The sequence below is a fragment of the Homo sapiens genome, chromosome 6 (assembly GCF_000001405.40).
Source record: "Homo sapiens chromosome 6, GRCh38.p14 Primary Assembly".
Taxonomy (NCBI): Eukaryota; Metazoa; Chordata; class Mammalia; order Primates; family Hominidae; genus Homo; species Homo sapiens.
In genome coordinates, this window is record NC_000006.12 from 8576568 (window position 1) to 8596510 (window position 19943).

At 36.3% G+C, this 19943-nt stretch overlaps 1 long non-coding RNA gene across 2 annotated transcripts in view, besides 2 other annotated features; it reads left to right on the forward strand.

Annotated features, from left to right (window-relative positions):
• Positions 1-19943, forward strand: part of LOC100506207 (uncharacterized) — a 349823-nt gene that overhangs the window by 140945 nt on the left and 188935 nt on the right. The gene's annotated exons all lie outside the window — the stretch shown is intronic.
• Positions 13506-13675: an enhancer, noted in NCBI's record as "experimental_96469 CRE fragment used in MPRA reporter constructs". NCBI's record gives its function as "activates a minimal promoter by MPRAs in K562 erythroleukemia cells, with activity observed for both the introgressed and non-introgressed 6:8590391 variant alleles {active_cell/tissue: K562}" and the evidence as "EXISTENCE:reporter gene assay evidence [ECO:0000049][PMID:34662402]".
• Positions 13685-13854: an enhancer, noted in NCBI's record as "experimental_96472 CRE fragment used in MPRA reporter constructs". NCBI's record gives its function as "activates a minimal promoter by MPRAs in K562 erythroleukemia cells, with activity observed for the non-introgressed 6:8590570 variant allele {active_cell/tissue: K562}" and the evidence as "EXISTENCE:reporter gene assay evidence [ECO:0000049][PMID:34662402]".

Below are 19943 nucleotides of genomic sequence, written 5' to 3' on the forward strand. Positions count from 1 at the left end.
TACGTAGAAATTAAGTATACAAACTAAAGCAACAGGAATTAAAAAACAAATAGGAATTCAATCACTACATATTTCTATTTCAAAACTGACAAAAGCTTTAGTTCTAAAAATGAAAAAAAGAGAGAGGACAGAAAGTACACGATGGGTACAAAATAAGTGAAATTTAAATTCCTTTATTTGCATTACATTTCCTTTAAACTTTTAAAAATGACTTTTTACCCTCCCCTTAAGATATCCAGCCTTGTTTCTTCTGACCAGCTCTCTTGGAGTTTTCCTGAAATGACACTCTCCTTGGCAATTATCCCCTGAGCCTTATCATCCCAATTTTAAAATCTCCATGTCAAGTTCTGAGAACTTCTAGCTTCTACTTTCTTTCTTCATCAATGAAAATTTTAATCAGACATTGTTACAGCTGTTTGGATGTTTATTTATCTAAAACCCTCTAAAGTTTGAGAGAAGAATCCCCTCCCCTCCCCAACCCTCCTCGCCCTACCCCTCCCTTCCCCCCCCTTCTTTCTTTTATTCTTAGCAAAGTGCCTAAATGTTTCCATCAGGAAGCGATGTGTGCACTGAGTACTAATTGCAAATGCTGTGTCCTTCACTTTTAGAATTGCTAGATAATATACTAAAAATTGGTTCATAAAATGCTTGTGCATAATATAACTTTAGGAACAATTCTGTCCATTTCTATCACTTATAGATGAAGAACTGCAACCTAGAGAAGATGGAAATGACTTCTTCATTTTGTGTTTGCTCTCTCCATGGGGGTTTTGAGGGGGAGCCCTGCCCTCGCAAACTGCCAGGTGTATACTGGACACACCAGTCATGAATCTAGATTCACTGGGAGGGAAGAATGATTACCAGTTTTTGCCATCTTGAGGGGTAAGAGTGCAATGATTTGGAGTCTCCTTGAGAGATTAATATGGGATGCTGACTACCCAGAAGAAGATCTAGGATAACATACACACAAACATTTATATATATACATGCGCATACGTACAGACATGTAAAAATATATACATGTTCTGATTTGTTAATATTCTTTGAAAGTAAACCAAATTAAAATTTCCAAATCCCCTGGTAAAAGTTCACTTGTAACATGATGAAAGGGGATATTCAGATAAGATTTTAGAACACCTTCTCTAGAACTAAAAAACAAAGCAAAACAAAATAAAATGATACTTCTCAAAAACTCCTTTGAAGCAGGTGTTCTTGTCAAATACTAAATCCATGACCAAGTATTTCAGTGTATGAGGATTCAGAAATATATATATATATATGAATATATATTTAAATGTTTCTTTATATGATTTAGTTTTCTCATAGCTTAGTTTTGTGTGTGTGTGTGTGTGTGTACGTGTGTGTTTTGCTACCACTTTATTCGGTGAATATATCCCACAGAAACAAAATCTGTCCACTTAGTTCATGAGTTTTTTGAAACATTTGATGTCTAAGTAACTTCATCCTTGGCAGAAATAACTTCCTGTTTTAAAAGAAAATAACTTAAAAGATCGTATAAGGAAGGCTCATAAGCCTTCTTGGAAATCAAACAGTTCTTACAAAACATTTTGATGTGTTTAGTACAGAGGAATTAGGAACATATGGGTTACATTTTCCTTAAAATGCATATGGTTTTTAAAAATTAAGGGGTAATGTTCTTGGCAAAATAGGTTTTGCCAAACCCAAACTGTTTAAAGAATTGTTCAAGATGTTCAGTCAGGCCAAAAGGCCCCAGGCTTCCACAGTCCTAATAATAGAATCAATCAGGAAAACCAGAATGAAGTCACTAAACTGATTTTAAGAGTCCCTTGAAATAACCAACCAAAATAAATCTCAATGTCGTAACAATCACAAGCAATTAGAATATAATAACTTTTATGCTTATGCCGAATAAAACCCCAAGCTAGTAGTTAAAATCGTTCTAGGAATTCTGGAAAGTTGGCAGTGTATTTTGTTTGACTAAAATAATTGATTACATCTATAAAAATGGCGAAGAGACTAGAAGGGATTTCACAGATAAAGCGCCTACCAGAAATAATTCAAGAATTTCACCATGGTTTCTCAAGGAATGGAGGTTGATACGCTTGTTTAAAACCCACACATTCTGTGGTAAAAAGGTGTATGTGGAGATGATAACCACAAAAATTTCATTACCCTGGTACTAAGCACTACTTCTCTTATCTGGAAAAGAGTCTATTAAGTCACTTAGTGATGGGCCCAGAGATGGTGAGATGAAATAGCCAGTAACATCAGACCAGAGGCTGTATATGTATATGGCATAAAGCAATTGGGTAATTGTTTCAAAAAGGAATCCAATCTCTGTATGGTAGTATTTGCTTCCCAACACTAATCTTTTTTTTTTTTTGAGACAGAGTTTTGCTCTTGTTGCCCAGGCTGGAGTGCAATGGTGCGATCTTGGCTCACTGCAACCTCCACCTCCCAGGTTCAAGCAATTCTCTTGTCTCAGCCTCCTGAGTAGCTGGGATTACAGGCATGCGCCACCACACCTGGCTAATTTTGTATTTTTGGTAGAGACAGGGTTTCTCCATGTTGGTCTGGCTGATCTCGAACTCCCGACCTCAGGTAATCTACCACCCTCAGCCTCCTGAAGTGCTGGGATTACAGGTGTGAGCCACCACACCCGGCCACACTAATCTATTTTGAAATGACATCACAGTCTCACACATAGTAGGGTTGGTAAAATTATCTTGGTTGGATTGGATTTGTTCTCATGAAAATATCTTCACATTCTTTTTCAAGATCTTCATTTTCTACTCATGACTTGCCTCTTGGCATTATGAGTAAGCCACTAGAGTTCCCTCTGTTGGTTGACTCCTTGGTGTTTTAACAAAAATTGCTGCAGGTAGTTAAATAATTTTTTAAAAAATCTTTTGTTCTTTTCTGACTCAGACTTTATATAATCACCTCCAGCTAAAGACAGAAACATTATGTCTACCAGTTGAGCCAATTGAGCCAATAACAAAAGGGTTCTGGAATTCTTCCAGTTTCCTTTTCTCCCCTCCAGAGATTCCTGGCATTCTCTCCTGCTGAGCAGAATATGAATTACTAGACAATTTGGAACAAGGCGGTTCTGATCAGCAGACATTTGCATGGCTGTAGCATTTGTGGAGAGGCAAAGCACTCAAGGCAGTAGCAGCAGTGTTGCCCCTTCCTGTCTCACCAGCTCTCTAACAAACTATATGTTTTGCAACGGATGGGAGTAATGCATTTTAAGGATTTGGGAGGTTGTCCGGGTTGTGCATTAGGTGTTGTGGTTGTGATAATTATTGGGTGTATGCAGAGTTGGAGGCTGTTAGACTTACTTGCATCTAGATCTAAGCCCATAGGGGATTGTGTATGTGATGCTTAAGTGTGTGTGTGTGTGTGTGTGTGTGTGTGTATGAAGCTGGCTTTATCAGAATTACTGGGTGATGGTATGGAAGAAAGAGAGGCTCTCAAAGGGCACTAAAAAGGATACTGAAGCTATGAATGAATGTCTAAAAGTGATTGAAGATGAGTGATATGGTTTCACTGTCCAAAAATATCTAAAGGGAATTAGCCTTTACGTATCAAGGAAAAAATAGTTTAATTAGAACATTTCCAGAAGTCCCTCTCACAATCTTTTCACTCATGTTCATACATAAACCCAGGCTGGTTGATTCCTTTTTGTTTGTACATGCTTTCCAACTTGGTCCATGTAGTTCCCACCACTTTCCCCTCTGCACATTGCAGTCCTACTCTTCTTTCAAAGAACTGTTTGATCTCTATCTCCTATACGACAGTGGCTTTAAACATTTTGATCATGACCCACAATAAGAAATGCATTTTATATCAAGTCCCAGTGAATGCAAAATACATGCACACAGACATCTGAAACAAAAGCTTCATTAAATTATACATACATGGACTGTATTTGATACTTCTATCCTACAAAGCCTAGTCATAACTACCTAAAATAATTTCATGATCACCAATGGGTCTTTATCCACTGTTTGAAAAATACTTCTCTGTAAAGTTTTCCATGATGATTCCAACACGCTGATCCTTCATTTGTCTAAACTCATAGAAATTTTGTTGTTCTGACAACTTGTTGGGTACATATCAGTATACGACATTAATATATCTCCCTGTCCCCAATTAGGTTATCAGTCACTTGATGGAGGAGATTGTATGTTATATATTACTTTGTATTCTTCACAGTGTCTAATATAAAGGACACAAGTCCTTTCTAAGAAAAGAGTGCTGGGATTCTCTCTACAACTCACCAAAATATCTTCTGTCACATTTCCCATCTAAACTCTGAAATATAACCCAATTTTATTATTTGTGAATTTGGAATCAGAGCAGACTCTCATTCTCCTCAAATCCCCTGCTGTAATGGATGATATTTCTTCCTAGAGTTCTTAGTATTTTTCTGAGGGCCTTTAAAAAAATATAGAGCCAGAAATAAATAAGGTGAGGAGCATAGAACATATACATAATAGCCTAAATTCTTCTTTTTTTTTTTTTAGACAGAGTCTTGCTCTGTCACTCAGGCACTCAGGCAGTGGCACGGTCTCGGCTCACAGCAACCTCTGCCTCCTGGGCTTAAGCAATTCTCTTGTCTCAGACTCCCGAGTAGCTGGGACTACATGTGTGCACCACCATGGCCAGCTAATTTTTGTATTTTTAGTAGAGACGGGGTTTTGCCATGTTGGCCAAGCTAGTCTTGAACTCCTGACCTTAGGTGATCCACTCGCTAGGCCTTCCAAATTGTGGGATTACAATTGTGAACCACTGCACCCGGCCAATAGCCTAAATTCTTGAGTAGGAGTGGAGATAAGGGTAGGTTAGGCTAGTAGACTATTATGAGAAAGAAGAAGATGAGTTTTTCCAGTATGTTTTTTCCTCCATTACATTTGGAAAAGGTAAATAAGAAGTTTACTCAAGCTGTGTCTACCTATACAAAACTGTGAAGCCAGAATAAATGGAACCTCCCAGGGTACTGAAAGAAACCGAAGGAATCATTAGCTTGAAAGAGAAGTCTGCACTAGAAGGATCACCAGGACCCAAGCAGCAAAGAAGAGTGGTTGAAAGACTTGAAAGACAGGTTAAGTGTCGTCAGTGAGGCTGTGGTTATTAGGAAAATCAGGGTCAAGTTGTGACCCTGAGCTCATTGACCTCTTACAAAGAGGTAAAGGTGCTTCTTCTATAGCCAGTATATTTTTGAAGATTTGATTAAATACAAAAGATGATATCTTTGTGGCGAACAGGTTTACACATAAGAACACTGAGACTATGACTGAGACCTGTGTCTGGCAACTCATGACCACATTTCACCTAGTCCTGGTGAGGCAGTTTTGGTTATTCATTAAAAATAGTATCTGTGTTACTATTAATTGTTAATTAATCAGTAAAATCTGGCAAATGCTTGGGTCAAAAGTTTATACATACATTATTTTGAGACCAATTAATCTATGGTCTCAAAATAATGTACGTAGAAACTATTGACTCAAGCATTTGCTAGATTTTACTGATTAATTAAATTGGGTAGATTTGTTCATTCATTGGAAAATAGTGTTTGAGCAAGATAGAATTTGGGTATCTGAAAGGAAACCAAGACAGGTGATACCTTAGCGCCTACATGGAGCCGATCTTCTTCTTGGCATTCTTTTGGCTTTTGTAAATGAATTTCTTCTTTCTCAAGGCTCACGGTAGGATTTTAGTATTGACACCTGGACCTACGTTTGGCCACTTGATCATGATGTTGGAGGCTAAGCAGAGAATACCCTAGATCAATGCTCAAGTAGGAAATGCTCCTGATTGGGTGCTTTCTGGTACCCAATCCAAAGGTATGAACCAACTTAGAATCCAGGTTAGGCATTTACCAGCTGCCTGATTGAGCCTCTTTTTCTCATTCAGTAGAGAAGGGGTAATTCTCTTTGACCTATTTTATAGGGTTGCTGGGTTGAGATCATTTCTAAACTAGGAAGAGCTATATAAATATAAGATATTATAACACTTTAATATAATTAATTAGTGCCTTTTCATAAGCAATGCAGGTGAGCTAAAGTTATTTAAAACAAGGTGAAAGCCTCTCTTTAAGATCATTTTTGCATTTTATGAGTTCTTATAGAATCAACCTTACTATGATCCTAAACTTTTGTTCTCAGAAACATTCAAAATATTATAGCATGTAGCAGACTATATAAGTCATATCTGTGATATTAATATTTGTTAGGTTTACTATCTGGTGTGCCACTTTCCCTACTCAATCTTCTAAAAAAATATTAAATTACATTTTGATATGGTATCCCAGAGCAGTGTCTTTTTTTATTGTTGTTCATTTTTTGAGACAGGGTCTTGCTCTGTCACCCAGGCTGGAGTGCAGTGGCACAACCTTGGCTCACTGTAGCCTCCATCTTGAGCCATCCTCCCACCTCAGCCTCCTGAGTAGCTAGGACTACAGGCCCACACCATCATTTCCGGCTAATTTTTTTAGTTCTTAGGATCTCATTTTGTTGCCCAGGCTGGTCTCATACTCCTGGGCTCAATACTCCTGGTCTCATACTGCCTTGGCCTCCCAAAGTGCTGGAATGACTGGTGTGAGCAACTGCATCTGGCCAGAACAGTGACTTTTAAATGTACTTCTCCAAAGGGTGATGAGGAGGGGGTAAGAAAAACAACAATGTCTTGAATTATGAAAAATTTCAATGTCCAGATACTTGAGAAGATGTGGAAGAACTGTAGCACTATGCATTACTAGAATTAAAGTAATTATTTACATTAGATATATTAAAATATCATTATAAACCAGCTTGCTAAAATTATGAACTTAGTTATACATGAATTCTGTCCTTTTTTCAAACATAATTTTATTTTAAAACCCTAAAATGTTATGATCAAAATACTCATATTTCCTGACATCAGCATTATAACAGCTCTCAAGTCCTCCTAGTTGGGTAAAACAGTTAAGTCTTTGTGGCCTTGGTTGCCAGCTTGACAGATTCCATTTAACCAGGCCTGTCTTCTCATGCTTCTGCTTGGGCCAGCCAATCTGCTAATAAGGAAGAAGAGGAATTGAAAATATTGTTCAGTTTCTGTTCATGTATATTTTTAAGGATTGTCTGGGATTCTCAAGAACTCGAACACCATCCCAGGAAGTGAGCCCAAAGTAGGCTATGAACGATGGCAGTGTTTAGATTAAGAAAACGTTAAGTTCAGAATTTGAAGTCCTGGTTGCTTAAATCTTCATTTGCTACTTCTAGTTAAATGGATGAAATTAGCTCAAGGGACAAAGTTAAGGACTCCTGCCATTTTCTAGTTTGAGCCTCTGTTCTTTGATATGAGTTAGAAGTCTTTTAGCTGCAAGGGAATAAAACCCAACTTACGCTGGTTGAAGCAAAAAACAAGTGAAACCAGGGTGGGAAGGTAGTGGGGGGACTCACTGGCACCTGTCACTGAATTGTCAGGGACTACTCTGAATTCAGGCTTTACTAGATCCAAAGACGTGGGTAATAGTAAAAGTATCGGTAGTGATCTCTCGGTTACACTGGCTTCTGTGTGGTTTCATCTTTTCAGGCAGGCTCTCCTGATAAACTAGCAACATGGCTGCTCTTAATTCACATACTCCAAGCTTAGTAATTCTTAGCAGAAACAAAAAATTTCCTTGACAGGCCATTGATAGTTCCAGGATTCAATCGTGTGTGTGTGTGTGTGTGTGTGTGTGTGTGTGTGTGTGTGTGTGTGTGTGCATTTATTTTTTATTATACTTTAAGTTCTGGGATACATGTGCAGAACGTGCAGGTTTGGGGTTACATAGATATACACGTGTCACAGTGGTTTGCTGCACCCATCAACCTGTCATCTACATTAGGTATTTCTCCTAATGCTCTCCCTCCCCTAGCACCCCACCCCAAACAGGCCCCAGTGTGTGATGTTCCTCTCCCTGCGTCCATGTGTTCTCATTGTTCAACTCCCACTTACGGGTGAGAACATGTGGTGTTGGGTTTTCTGTTCCTGTGCTAGTTTGCTGAGAATGATGGTTTCCAGCTTCATCCATGTCCCTGCAAAGGACATGAACTAATCCTTTTTTATGGCTGTATAGTATTCCATGGTGTATCTGTGCCACATTTTCCTTATCCAGTCTATCATTGATGGGCATTTGGGTTGGCTCCAGGTTTTTGCTTTCATGAATAGTGCTGCAGTAAACATACGTGTTCATGTGTCTTTAGAGTAGAATGATTTATAATCCTTTGGGTATATACTCAATAATGGGATTGCTGGGTCAAATGGTATTTCTGGTTCTAGATCCTTGAGGAATCACCACACTGTCTTCCACAATGGTTGAACTAATTTACACTCCCACCAACAGTGTAAAAGCATTCCTATTTCTCCACATCCTCTCCAGCATCTGTTGTTTCCTAACTTTTTAATTCTAACTGGTGTGAGATGGTACCTCATTGTGGTTTTGATTTGCATTTCTCTAACGACCAGTGATGATGAGCTTTTTTCCCACATGTTTCTTGGCCGCATAAATGTCTTCTTTTGAGAAATGTCTATGCATGTCCTTTGCCCACTTTTTGATTGTTTTATTCTTACAAATTTGTTTAAGTTCTTTGTAGATTCTGGATATTAGCCCTTTGTCAGATGGATAGATTGCAAAAATTTTCTATAGGTTGCCTGTTCACTCTGATGACAGTTTCTTTTGCTGTGTGGAAGCTCCTTAGTTTAATTAGATCCCATTTGTCAATTTTGGCTTTTGCTGCCATTGCTTTTGGTGTTTTAGTCACGAAGTCTTTGCCCATGCCTCTGTCCTGAATGATATTGCCTAGGTTTTCTTCTAGGATTTTTATGGTTTTAGGTCTTACGTTTAAGTGTTTAATCCACCTTGAGTTAATTTTTGTATAAAGTATAAGGAAGCGGTCCAGTTTCAGTTTTCTGCATATGGCTAGCCAGTTTTCCCAACACCATTTATTAAAAAGGGAACCCTTTCCCCATTGCTTGTTTTTGCCAGGTTTGTCAAAGATCAGATGGTTGTAGATGTGTGACATTATTTTTGAGGCCTCTGTTCTGTTCCCTTGGTCTCTATATCTGTTTTGGTACCAGTACCATGCTGTTTTGGTTAATTTATCCTGTAGTATAGTTTGAGGTAAGGTATCGTGCTGCCTCCTGCTTTGTTGTTTTTGCTTAGGATTATCTTGGCTATATGGGCTCTTTTTTCGGTTCCATATAAAATTTAAAGTAGTTTTTTCTAACTCTGTGAAGAAAGTCAATGGTAGCTTGATAAGGATAGCATTGAATCTATAAATTACTTTGGGCAGTATGGCTATTTTCATGATATTGATTCTTCCTATCCATAAGCATGGAATGGTTTTCCATTTGTTTGTGTCCTCTCCTATTTCCTTGAGCAGTGGTTTGTAGTTCCCCTTGAAGAGGTCCTTCACATCACTTGTAAGTTGTAAAGACCAAACCTGCGTTTGACTGGTGTACCTGAAAGTGGTGGGGAGAATGGAACCAAGTTGGAAAACACTCTTCACAATATTATTCAGGAGAACTTCCCCAACCTAGCAAGACAGGCCAACATTCAAATTCAGGAAATACAGAGAACACCACAAAGATACTCCTTGAGAAGAGCAACCCCAAGACACATAATCATCAGATTCACCAAGGTTGAAATGAAGGAAAAAATGTTAAGGGCAGCCAGAGAGAAAGGGTGGGTTACCCATAAAGGGAAGCCCATCAGACTAAAGTAGATCTCTCTGCAGAAACCTTATGAGCCAGAAGAGAGAGGGGACCCATATTCAACATTCTTAAAGAAAATAATTTTCAACCCAGAATTTCATATCCAGCCAAACTAAGCTTCATAAGCAAAGGAAAAATAACATCCTTTATAGACAAGCAAATGCTGAGAGATTTTGTGACCACCAGGCATACCTTACAAGAGCTCCTGAAGGAAGCACTAAATATGAAAAGGAAAAACCGCTACCAGGCGCTGCAAAAACATACCAAATTCTAAAGACCATTGACACTCTGAGGAAACTGCATCAACTAATGGACAAAATAACCAGCTAGCATCATAATGACAGGATCAAATTCACATATAATAATATTAACCTTAAATATGTATGGGCTAAATGTCCCAATTGAAAGACACGGACCAGCAAATTGGATAAAGAGTCAAGACCCATCGGTGTGTTGTATTCAGGAGACCTATCTCACGTGCAAAGACACACATAGGCTCAAAATAAAGGGATGGAGGAATATTTACCAAGCAAATGGAAAGAAAGAAAAAGAAAAGCAGGGGTTGCAATCCTAGTCTCTGATAAAACAGACTCTAAACGAACAAAGATCAAAAAAGACAAAGAAGGGCATTACATAATGATAAAGGGATCAATGTAACAAGAAGAGCTACTATCCTAAATATATGTGCACCCAATACAGGAGCACCGAGATTCATAAAGCAAGTTCTTAGAGACCTACAAAGAGACTTAGACTCCCACACAATAATAGTGGGAGATTTTAACACCCCACTGTCAATATTAGATCAATGAGACAGAAAATTAAAAAGGATATTCAGGACTTAAACTCAGCTCTGGACCAAGTGGACCTAATAGACATCTACAGAACTCTCCACCCCAAATCAACAGAATATACATTCTTCTCAGCACCACATAGCACTTATTCTAAAATCAACCACATAATTAGAAGTAAAACACTCCTCAGCAAATGCAAAAGAACGGAAATCATAACAAACATTCTCTCTGACCACCTTGCTATCAAATTAGAACTCAGAATCAAGATACTCACTCAAAACTGCACAACTAAATGGAAACTGAACAACCTGCTCCTGAATGACTACTAGGTAAATAACAAAACTGAGGCAGAAATAAATAAGTTCTTTGAAACCAATGAGAACAAAGACACAACATACCAGAATATCTGGGACACAGCTAAATCAGTGTTTAGAGGAAAATTTGTAGCACTAAATGCCCACAGGAGAAAGTGAGAAAGATCTAAAATCGACATCCTAACATTACAATTAAGAGAACTAGAGAAGCAAGAGCAAACAAATTCAAAAGCTAGTAGAAGACAAGAAATAACTAAGATCAGAGCAGAACTGAAGGAGATAGAGACACAAAAGAAGTTAAAAAAATCAATGAATCCAGGAGCTGTTTTTTTTTGAAAAGATCAAGAAAATAGACTGCTAGCCAGTTTAATAAAGAAGAAAAAAGAGAAGAATCAAGTGGACACAATACAAAATGAAAAAAGGGATATCACCACTGATCCCACAGAAATATGAACTAACCGTCAGAGAATACTATAAACACCTCTACGCAAATAAACTAGAAAATCTAGAAGAAATGGATAAATTCCTGGACTCATATACCCTCCCAAGTCTAAACTAGGAAGAAGTCGAATCCCTGAATAGACCAATAACAAGTTCTGAAATTGAGGCAGTGATTAATAGCCTACCAACCAAAAAAAGCCCAGGACCAGACAGATTCACAGCCGAATTCTACCAGAGGTACAAAGAGGAGCTGGTACCATTCCTTCTGAAACTATTCTAAACAATAGAAAAAGAAGGACTCTTCCTTAACTCATTTTATGATGCCAGAATCATCCTGATACCAAAACCTGGCAGAGACACAACAACAAAAAAAAATTTCAGGCCAATATTCCATCAGTGCGAAAATCCTCAATAAAATACTGGCAAACAAAATCCAGCAGCACACCAGGATTCAATCTTACTGCTAAGACTTTATTCAGTGCCTGTCACCAAAGCAGTCCCTGTTGAGAGGGGATGGAATTTCTTGGCTGGGTGTGGCTTATGATTCCATATGGTTGGTGAGAGATAAGGGTGAGGATGGTAGTGGTGGTTGGGGAAGGGGTTTAGATGTCCAGAATCACAAGAACAGAGAAGGGCTAAGTCAAAGTACTATTACCAAAAAGAAGGATAGCCAGAGAGCAGAAAACAACAGATACTTACTGTGTGTGTTTGTAAGTTACTTTAAAAATAGTTTTTTCATAAATTGACTGTCTTCACATTTCTGTGAGTAGGATTATTTTTAAAAGACCAGAATTCAAGTGCCAATGCCATTTACTTGGATTCTCAGTTTGTTAAGAAAGTGAAAATGTTTTGGAAACCATAAAGTGCTATATTCATGAAAGTGACATATTTAAAAGTTTTTTAGTTCCTTCTCTGCTGTTAGTCATAATATGTCACTGTCATAAATGTAAATAATCATGAAAAAATAATACCACTCTCACGATTACCTGACACTTTACAGAAAAGGCTATTTCTATTTTTGAAACAGAAGAATGGTTATTAGAAGTGTCATGATAGTGTTAAAACAATTTAAAGGAGAAAAAGAATGAATCTTAGATCATGAAGTTACTTAATACCCTACAATATACTGCAAGGAAAAATCTTGCCTTTAAATCTCCTTTCTTATTCTAAGACTGAGACTTGAGTCACATGTATAAATTTGCCTTTTAGTGTTATAAAAGTATGTGAATAAGTACAAGTACAAACACATTAATATATAAAATAAATATAGAAAACCTATTATTGAATTTCAGCTATTTAGAGCATGTTATAGTTCTGTTAAATTTGGAAATTGAATATAGAGATAGTTGTGGAAACAAACATATGTTTCTCGATTTTTTTATTACCAGTGTTTTAAGAAGAAAAAATTGATCATAGCCCAATTCCCACTCTGTTAGTAGTTAGCTGTTACCTTGGATGAAGTCACCTCATCTCCTCAGGCCTAGTATCCTCATCTGGAAATTGAAGAAATTTAATTAAATGCTATATAAGGCTGCTTTCAGTTCTAAAATCCTGCAATTTATGCAAGTTTTGAAAATGCTAGGTCATAAAATATTATTTTTGGGAGGAAGTGAAGTAGGTAAACTGCCAATGGCAGAAGCACATATTTTAAATATTCCCTGCATCTAATATGGTTACTTGATTCTGTCCAAACTACTGTGAAAACGCACGTGATTGTGTAGCTATTTCTGTGACCTGCATATTAAAAGGTTTAAATTCTCAGATGTTCCAAGAGCAGCCGTGTGATTTCGAACAGGAAATTTGATTCAACTTTTCTTTCCAGAAGGAATGAAAGTCAAGGGTAGGTCGATAAGGATTACAATGGTGGGTACCTACTGTGATCAATTTGAAATGTTTCAAAAACACATGGTTGGTTATTTGAGAGCAATTTTATTGAACTGACCAGTCTGTGGCAAATTACTTCATGTTACCACGTACGCCAAATTCCTTGTCCCCTTTTTCTCTTGCCACCTTCCTCTCTCCTATTTTCTCTCTCCTATCTCTCCTATTCTATTTGCAGGAGAAATCTGCTCACTCCTTTAGTTATTTTCTTTTTTCACCATCTAATTGACTCTACATGCTGCTATCCAGGCACAGCCCTTTGAGAATGTTTCCCAACCAGAAAAGAAAACAATAATAGAAGTGGCTACAAAATATAATTTTTTCCCTGACTATTAATGCAGGAGGAAAAGGTCTAATGGGTTGCAGATTTCTTCCTATTTGAATAGCGTGACCGTGACCAATTAAAAAGGAACCCCTCAGCTGAAGTTGCATTTCCTTAGTTCCCCTCCATCAGGGCAGGGCCTGGGATCGGGTGAGGGCTGGCTGGTGTTCTATGGATGGAAAGAGGAATGATGTGCAAATGGGTAGAGGTTTCAGTGACAGGGAGGAGAGCAGAGTTCTTTAAACTATTATTAAGAATAAGGCAGCAAGACTCCAGTCACCCTGCTAACCATTAAATATTTTTGGCTGTCTGCCAGCATGTTTCAGTATTTCTTTGAAGCTTTCTTGTACTTATTGCAGTAGAGTAATTAAAGTGTACCTTTTCATCTTTACCTACACACGTACACACACACACACACACACACACACACAAACACACACACACACCAATCCATTTTACTCTGACATAGACTTGCTGCGGGCGGGGCTTGGGGGCCCAGAGGTTGGGGGAGATGCAAATTCTCTCTGGAGCCCTCCTGAGACCTAGGAATGAACTGCACCTAGGAAACGTCTCAGGGCTGGGGCTGCAGCACTGATTCTTTTGAGCTCTTTGGTTTCTGCATCTCTCCCTTTAAAATATTTCTCTAATACATCCAAAGATGTTTCATAGGTGGTTGGGAGCTAGATTTTACAAAGAAGCTGCACCCCTGTGGCATTTAAAAATGTACACCTTGGTGGCCAGATAGGCAGCTGAAATTTCTGCTTCCCAATTTGGTATTTTAGCCTTTTACCTGATCAAATGATATTTCTTTTGGAAAGATAAAATTGAACCATATATATATATATATATGGTTATAAATATATAAATATATATAATAGAAATATATATTTATAAATATATGGTTCAATTTTATCTTTCCAAAAGAAGCATCATTTGATCAGATAAAAGCCTAAAATACCAAACTATATATATATAATATATAACATGTAACAAATATATAATATATAATATATATTCAATTGCTTAGAAACCTCTCTCAAAATATGGTCTTTACCATAATTACATTGATAATATTAATTTTTTAAAACCCAAGAATGTTTTTCCTTTTATCTCTCCTTTCTCTCCAGTCAACTAAAAATACTTACACCATCACCACCTCCACCACCACAAAAACAGTAAGAAAATACTGAAAACCCAAAGGTTGTTTTCTCTTAGGATATTTCAACTTCAGTATTAACAATTACTATGGTGTTGTTTTCTAATGTTTGGGTTTAATTCAATCAGTAGTCCTTCTGAGGAAGATTGAAAAAAAAAACAAAGATATTGAAGACAAAGCAAATTGTGTAGAGAGGAATATGATTTTTTCCTTATATGATCTTACAGATTTTATTATACTTGTCCTTTTACGTATGGTCTGTAATAAAATAATGTTGATCCTTAAATAAATTCTATATAATAGCGACAAAGCTGACTTTCATCATTAGTTGGGATAATCAGATCCACATTAATTACTATTGTTGTTCCAAGAAGAAATTTGAGTTCAGCATATCTCATGGCAAGAGAGGATGCCATCTTTTGCTCTGAAGGAGAAATTCTTGCCTTCTCTCCACCCCCATGTGTATTCAGGTGTGTAAGAAATGGTCTGATCGTCTTACACAAATAAATATGTAAAGTACAAGGTCTATTTTGGTGGATGGGAAATAGACCAAAGGAGAAGATAGGAGGAAATCCCAGAACTGTAACTCTTAGATTCCTTACAAAACTATTGCCAACTTTCTACAGAGTCTCCAGGTGTTCTAAGGTGGCGATGTTTTAATAGAATACATTATACCTGTAAAAATTTGCCTTAAAAGGCAAGTTACAGTACTTTTGTTTTGGTAACTGTAAGTGTTGGATTTTCCACTGGCAGGTGAAGGGACACTTTGCAGGGGTGGGCTGCAGGCACAGTGCCAGCATGCCAACTTCTGGCAGCTGGCTGGAAATTGATATGTTTTTATGGACATGTTCATTAATTCTAATTTTCTCTGGTACCTGAACCACTAAATTTGTGGCTTTCAAATATCCAAGAGGGTTGATTATAATCTTTAAGGTCTCTTCCAGCATCATGGCATTGATGAGATAAGGGAGATGGTTTCATTTTGAGGGCTGGATTGTCCTGATAATGACTCTACCTTAATTGCCTTCATGAGTTACAGGATCAAGACCTTGGTGGAGGACTCAGACCACGTGAGAGCAGACACTGTATATCGCTGCATAAGTAACATTTGGATGCAGTGGGTGGAGTTTGTGAATTTCTACGCTGTGCTTGATTCTGACCCCTCAGGGTACCAAGAAGCAGTTCACAATCAGAAATGTCAAGACTAATCCAATATTTAGAAAAACCTAAAGACTTAAGCAAAAACCTGTCAGAACTGATAAAAAAATTCGGTAAAATTGCAGGGTACAAAATCAACATGCAAAAATCAGCAACATTTCTATACACCAGTAGCATTCTTATGCAGCAACAGCAAATAATCTGAAAAAGAAAGTAAGAAAGCAGTCTTATTTACAGTAGCTACAAAAAACTTAAAATACTTAGGAATAAATTTAACCAAAGAAGTGAAAGATCTCTGCAATTAAACTATAAAACACTGATGAAAGAAATTGAAGAAGACACACAAAAAAATGGAAAGATATCCTATGCTAATGTATTGGAAGAAATAATATTGTGTAAAATGTCCATACTACCCCAAATGATCTCCAGATTCAATGCAATCTTCATCAAAACACCAAAGACAATCTTCAAAGGAATAGAAAAAAACAATCATAAAGTTTGTATGGAATCACAAAAGACCCCAAATAGCCAAAGTATCCTGAGCACAAAGAACAAAGGTAGAGGGATCACATTACCAGACTTCAAAACATACTACAAAGCTATAGTAACCAAAACAGCATGGTGCTGGCATAAAAACAGACACATAGATTAATGGAACAGAATAGAGAACCCAGAAATAAATCTACACATTTATAGCCAACTCATTTTTGACAAGGGCACCATGAAATTTTATTGGGATAAGGACAATCCCTTCAATAGATGGTTCTGGGAAAACTAAATATCCATAAGCAGAAGAATGAAACTAGACCCCTATCTCTTACCATATAAAAATCAAATAAAAATGGATTAAAGATTTAAGTGCAAAACCCAAAACTATAAAAAACCTAGAAGAAAACACTGGGGAAATGCTTCAGGACATTGGTCTGGGAAAAGACTTTCTGGGTGGGACCTCAAAAGCACAGGCAACAAAAGCAAGAATTGACAAATGGGATTGCCTCAAGCTAAAAAGTTTTTATACAACAAAGGAAACAGTAAACAGAATGGACAGACAACTGACAGAATGGGAGAAAATATTTGCAAACTGTCTATCTGACAGGAGATTAATAACCAGAATGTATAAGGAACTCAAACAACTTAATAGCCAAAACACAAATAATCAGAATTTTTAAAAAAATGGACAAAAGTATGAATAGACATTTTTCAAAAGAAGACATTCAAATGCCAACAGGTATATGAAAAATGCACGACTTCAATAATTATCAGGAAAACGCAAAGTAAAACCACAGTGAGATATCATCTCATCCTAGTTAAAATGGCCACTATAAAAAAGACAAAAAAAATTCTGATGAGGGTTTGGAGAAATGGGAATGTTACTACACTGTAGGAATGTGACTTAGTACAGCCACTATGGAAAACAGGGTGAAGGTTTCTCAAAAAACTAAAAATAGAGCTACTGTATGATCCAGCAATCCTATTGCGTGGTACAGTGTCAAAAGAAAGGAAATCAGTATACTGAAGAGATATCTGTACTCACATGTTTCTTGCAGCACAATTCACAATAGCTAAGATATAGAACCTTCTTAAGTGTCCATCAGCAGATGAATGGATAAGCAAATGTGATATATATACACAATGGAATATTATTCAGCCATAAAAAATTCTATCATTTGCAGCAACACAGATGGAACTGGGGGACATTCTGTTACGTGAAATAAGTCAAGAACAGAAAGATAAATTATCACATGTTCTCATTTAGATGTGGGAGCTAAAAATGTTGATCTCATGAAGGTAGAGAGTAGAATAATGGTTACCAGAGGTTGAGAAGGGTAGGGGGAAGAGAGAATGAAGAGAGGTTGGTTAATGGGTGCAAAAATACAGTTTGATAGAAGGAATAAGTTTTAGTGTTTGATAGCACAGTAGGGTGACAGTAGTTAACAATAATTTATTATATATTTCAAAATAGCTAGAAGAGTGGATTTGGAATGTTCCCAACACAAAGCAATGATTGATTAATATTTGAGGTGATGGATATCAAATTATGCTCATTTGATCATTACACATTGTATGCATGTATCAAAATATCACTTGTACCCCACAAACATGAACAATTATGTATCAGTAAAAAAGTAAAGTCATGATAAGCAGTATTTTTTTAATGTTTAACTTACACGAAGAAAACCACCACCACAAAAACATTGTTTTTAACAAAACAAAATCAAAACAGCATTCAGTTGCCAACCTTGGAATATGTTTATACTTTAAAATTATTTTAGTTAATATTTACTTTTACTCAACAAAAATACTACAGCATTAACACTTTTTGGGACAAAAAAATAGCTTCAAAGGTGATGTTTTGTCCACTAAAATATTCCATTAAAAGTTTGATTTTTGCAGGGCGTGGTGGCTCACGCTTGTAATCCCAACACTTTGGGAGGCCGATCATTTGAGTACAGGAGTTTGAGACCAGTCTGGGCAACACAGTGAAACCCCATCTCTACAAAAAAAAAAAAAAAAAAAAAAAAAAAAAAGTCTCCCTGCCCAAAAAAAAGAGAATTTGCCAGGCATGGTGGTGTGCACCTCTAGTCCCAGCTACTCGGAAAGCTGAAGTGGGAGGATCACTTGAGCCTGGGAGGTCAAGGCTGCAGTAAGCCAAGATAGCACCACTGCGCTCCAACCTGGGCAAAAGAGCAAGACCCTTTCTCAAAAAAAGAGAAATGTTTGATTTTCATAATTTTGAGTAAATTCAGAACCATCTGGAGTGTAGCTATGTCAATGTTTTCTATTAAAATTACATGAACAGAACAGATACCTTAAACACTAAACTCAAGGATACTTATCTAGTAAGTGGATAGTCTGGAACTCAGATTCAGCCCGCTGATTTTAAAACCAACTTTCTTACACCAAAATATGTGTGTGTCTAGATGTGTGTACAGTACTGTATATTGTATACTTCTGCTGCTGATGTTGTTGGGCTAACATTTTATTTTGTATTTTTTTGCATTTCTGTTTATGTGTGAGATTGATGTAAACTTTCTTCTCGATTGATAACAAGTTTACATAAGGCAACTAAGGGTTTTCTGGGTGATCTGTTGCTTATTAGTGATCTATTAAATTCATTTTGACTCTAACACTGTATTTACCATTTGTTCCTAAGGTTTACATTTTCCCGTACTCTTTTTTTAGCTTTTGACCTAAACATTTTACTACTCTTTTCCCTCAGTTTTTCTTTTTGTTTTTAAATGAACACTTTTAAGACCACAAATTTAATACTAGGTATTACTTTTGCTACATTCTACAGTTTTAAATATGTTACTTTTATCATTTTCATGTTACTTTCATTGTTTGGTTTTATTTATTTCAAGTGTGTTTTATAATTTTTATTGTGTTTTTTTAAGCTAATGAGTTATTTAAACATCCCTGTCTAAATTTCCAAGTAAATGACGAACCTTATTTATTGTTGAATTCTATTTTGTGTTTCTTTTTCTGAGAATATGACCTTTGTGATACTGGTTTTTTAAAAAAATTTATGTTTTAATTTAAGACCCACTATGTGGGTCAAATATTTTATAAATGTTCCATATGGGCTTGATACTAACGCATATTTTAATGATTAATTCAGAATATTTAAATATAAATTATACATTTTTATCACAGAGAAATCATATATTATCAGGTTTATGATTTTGTTCTGCAAATCCTCTTATTTTTTAATAAATTTTTTTCTGTTTCTGAGACAAATAAACTATCCAAACAATGATTTTTTTGTGATTTTTTAAACAATTCTATTAGTTTTTTTAATGTTTTTAAAAGTCAAGTTGTTAAATGCATGAAGTATATAATATTGTTTTTTCTAGTAATGTAATATTACTTGTTTTGCTGTAATATTACTTGTTTATTAATTTGTCTGACTTCAAATAATACTTCAATGATTTTATAATATAGTTAGAAAATATATTATAGTTAGCCAATAGTTATAGTTAATTAGGTTTAATTAGGATTTGCTGCATAATTTTTTTCTATTCTTTTATTTTTTGTCTTTCTGATTCTGTTTTAAATTGGGTTTTGAATATTTAATGCAATCTGATAATCTGATCATGGATTTACTTTGTTTACATTTATTCTGATATATTTGGATTTGTCTCATTTATTTTTCCTTT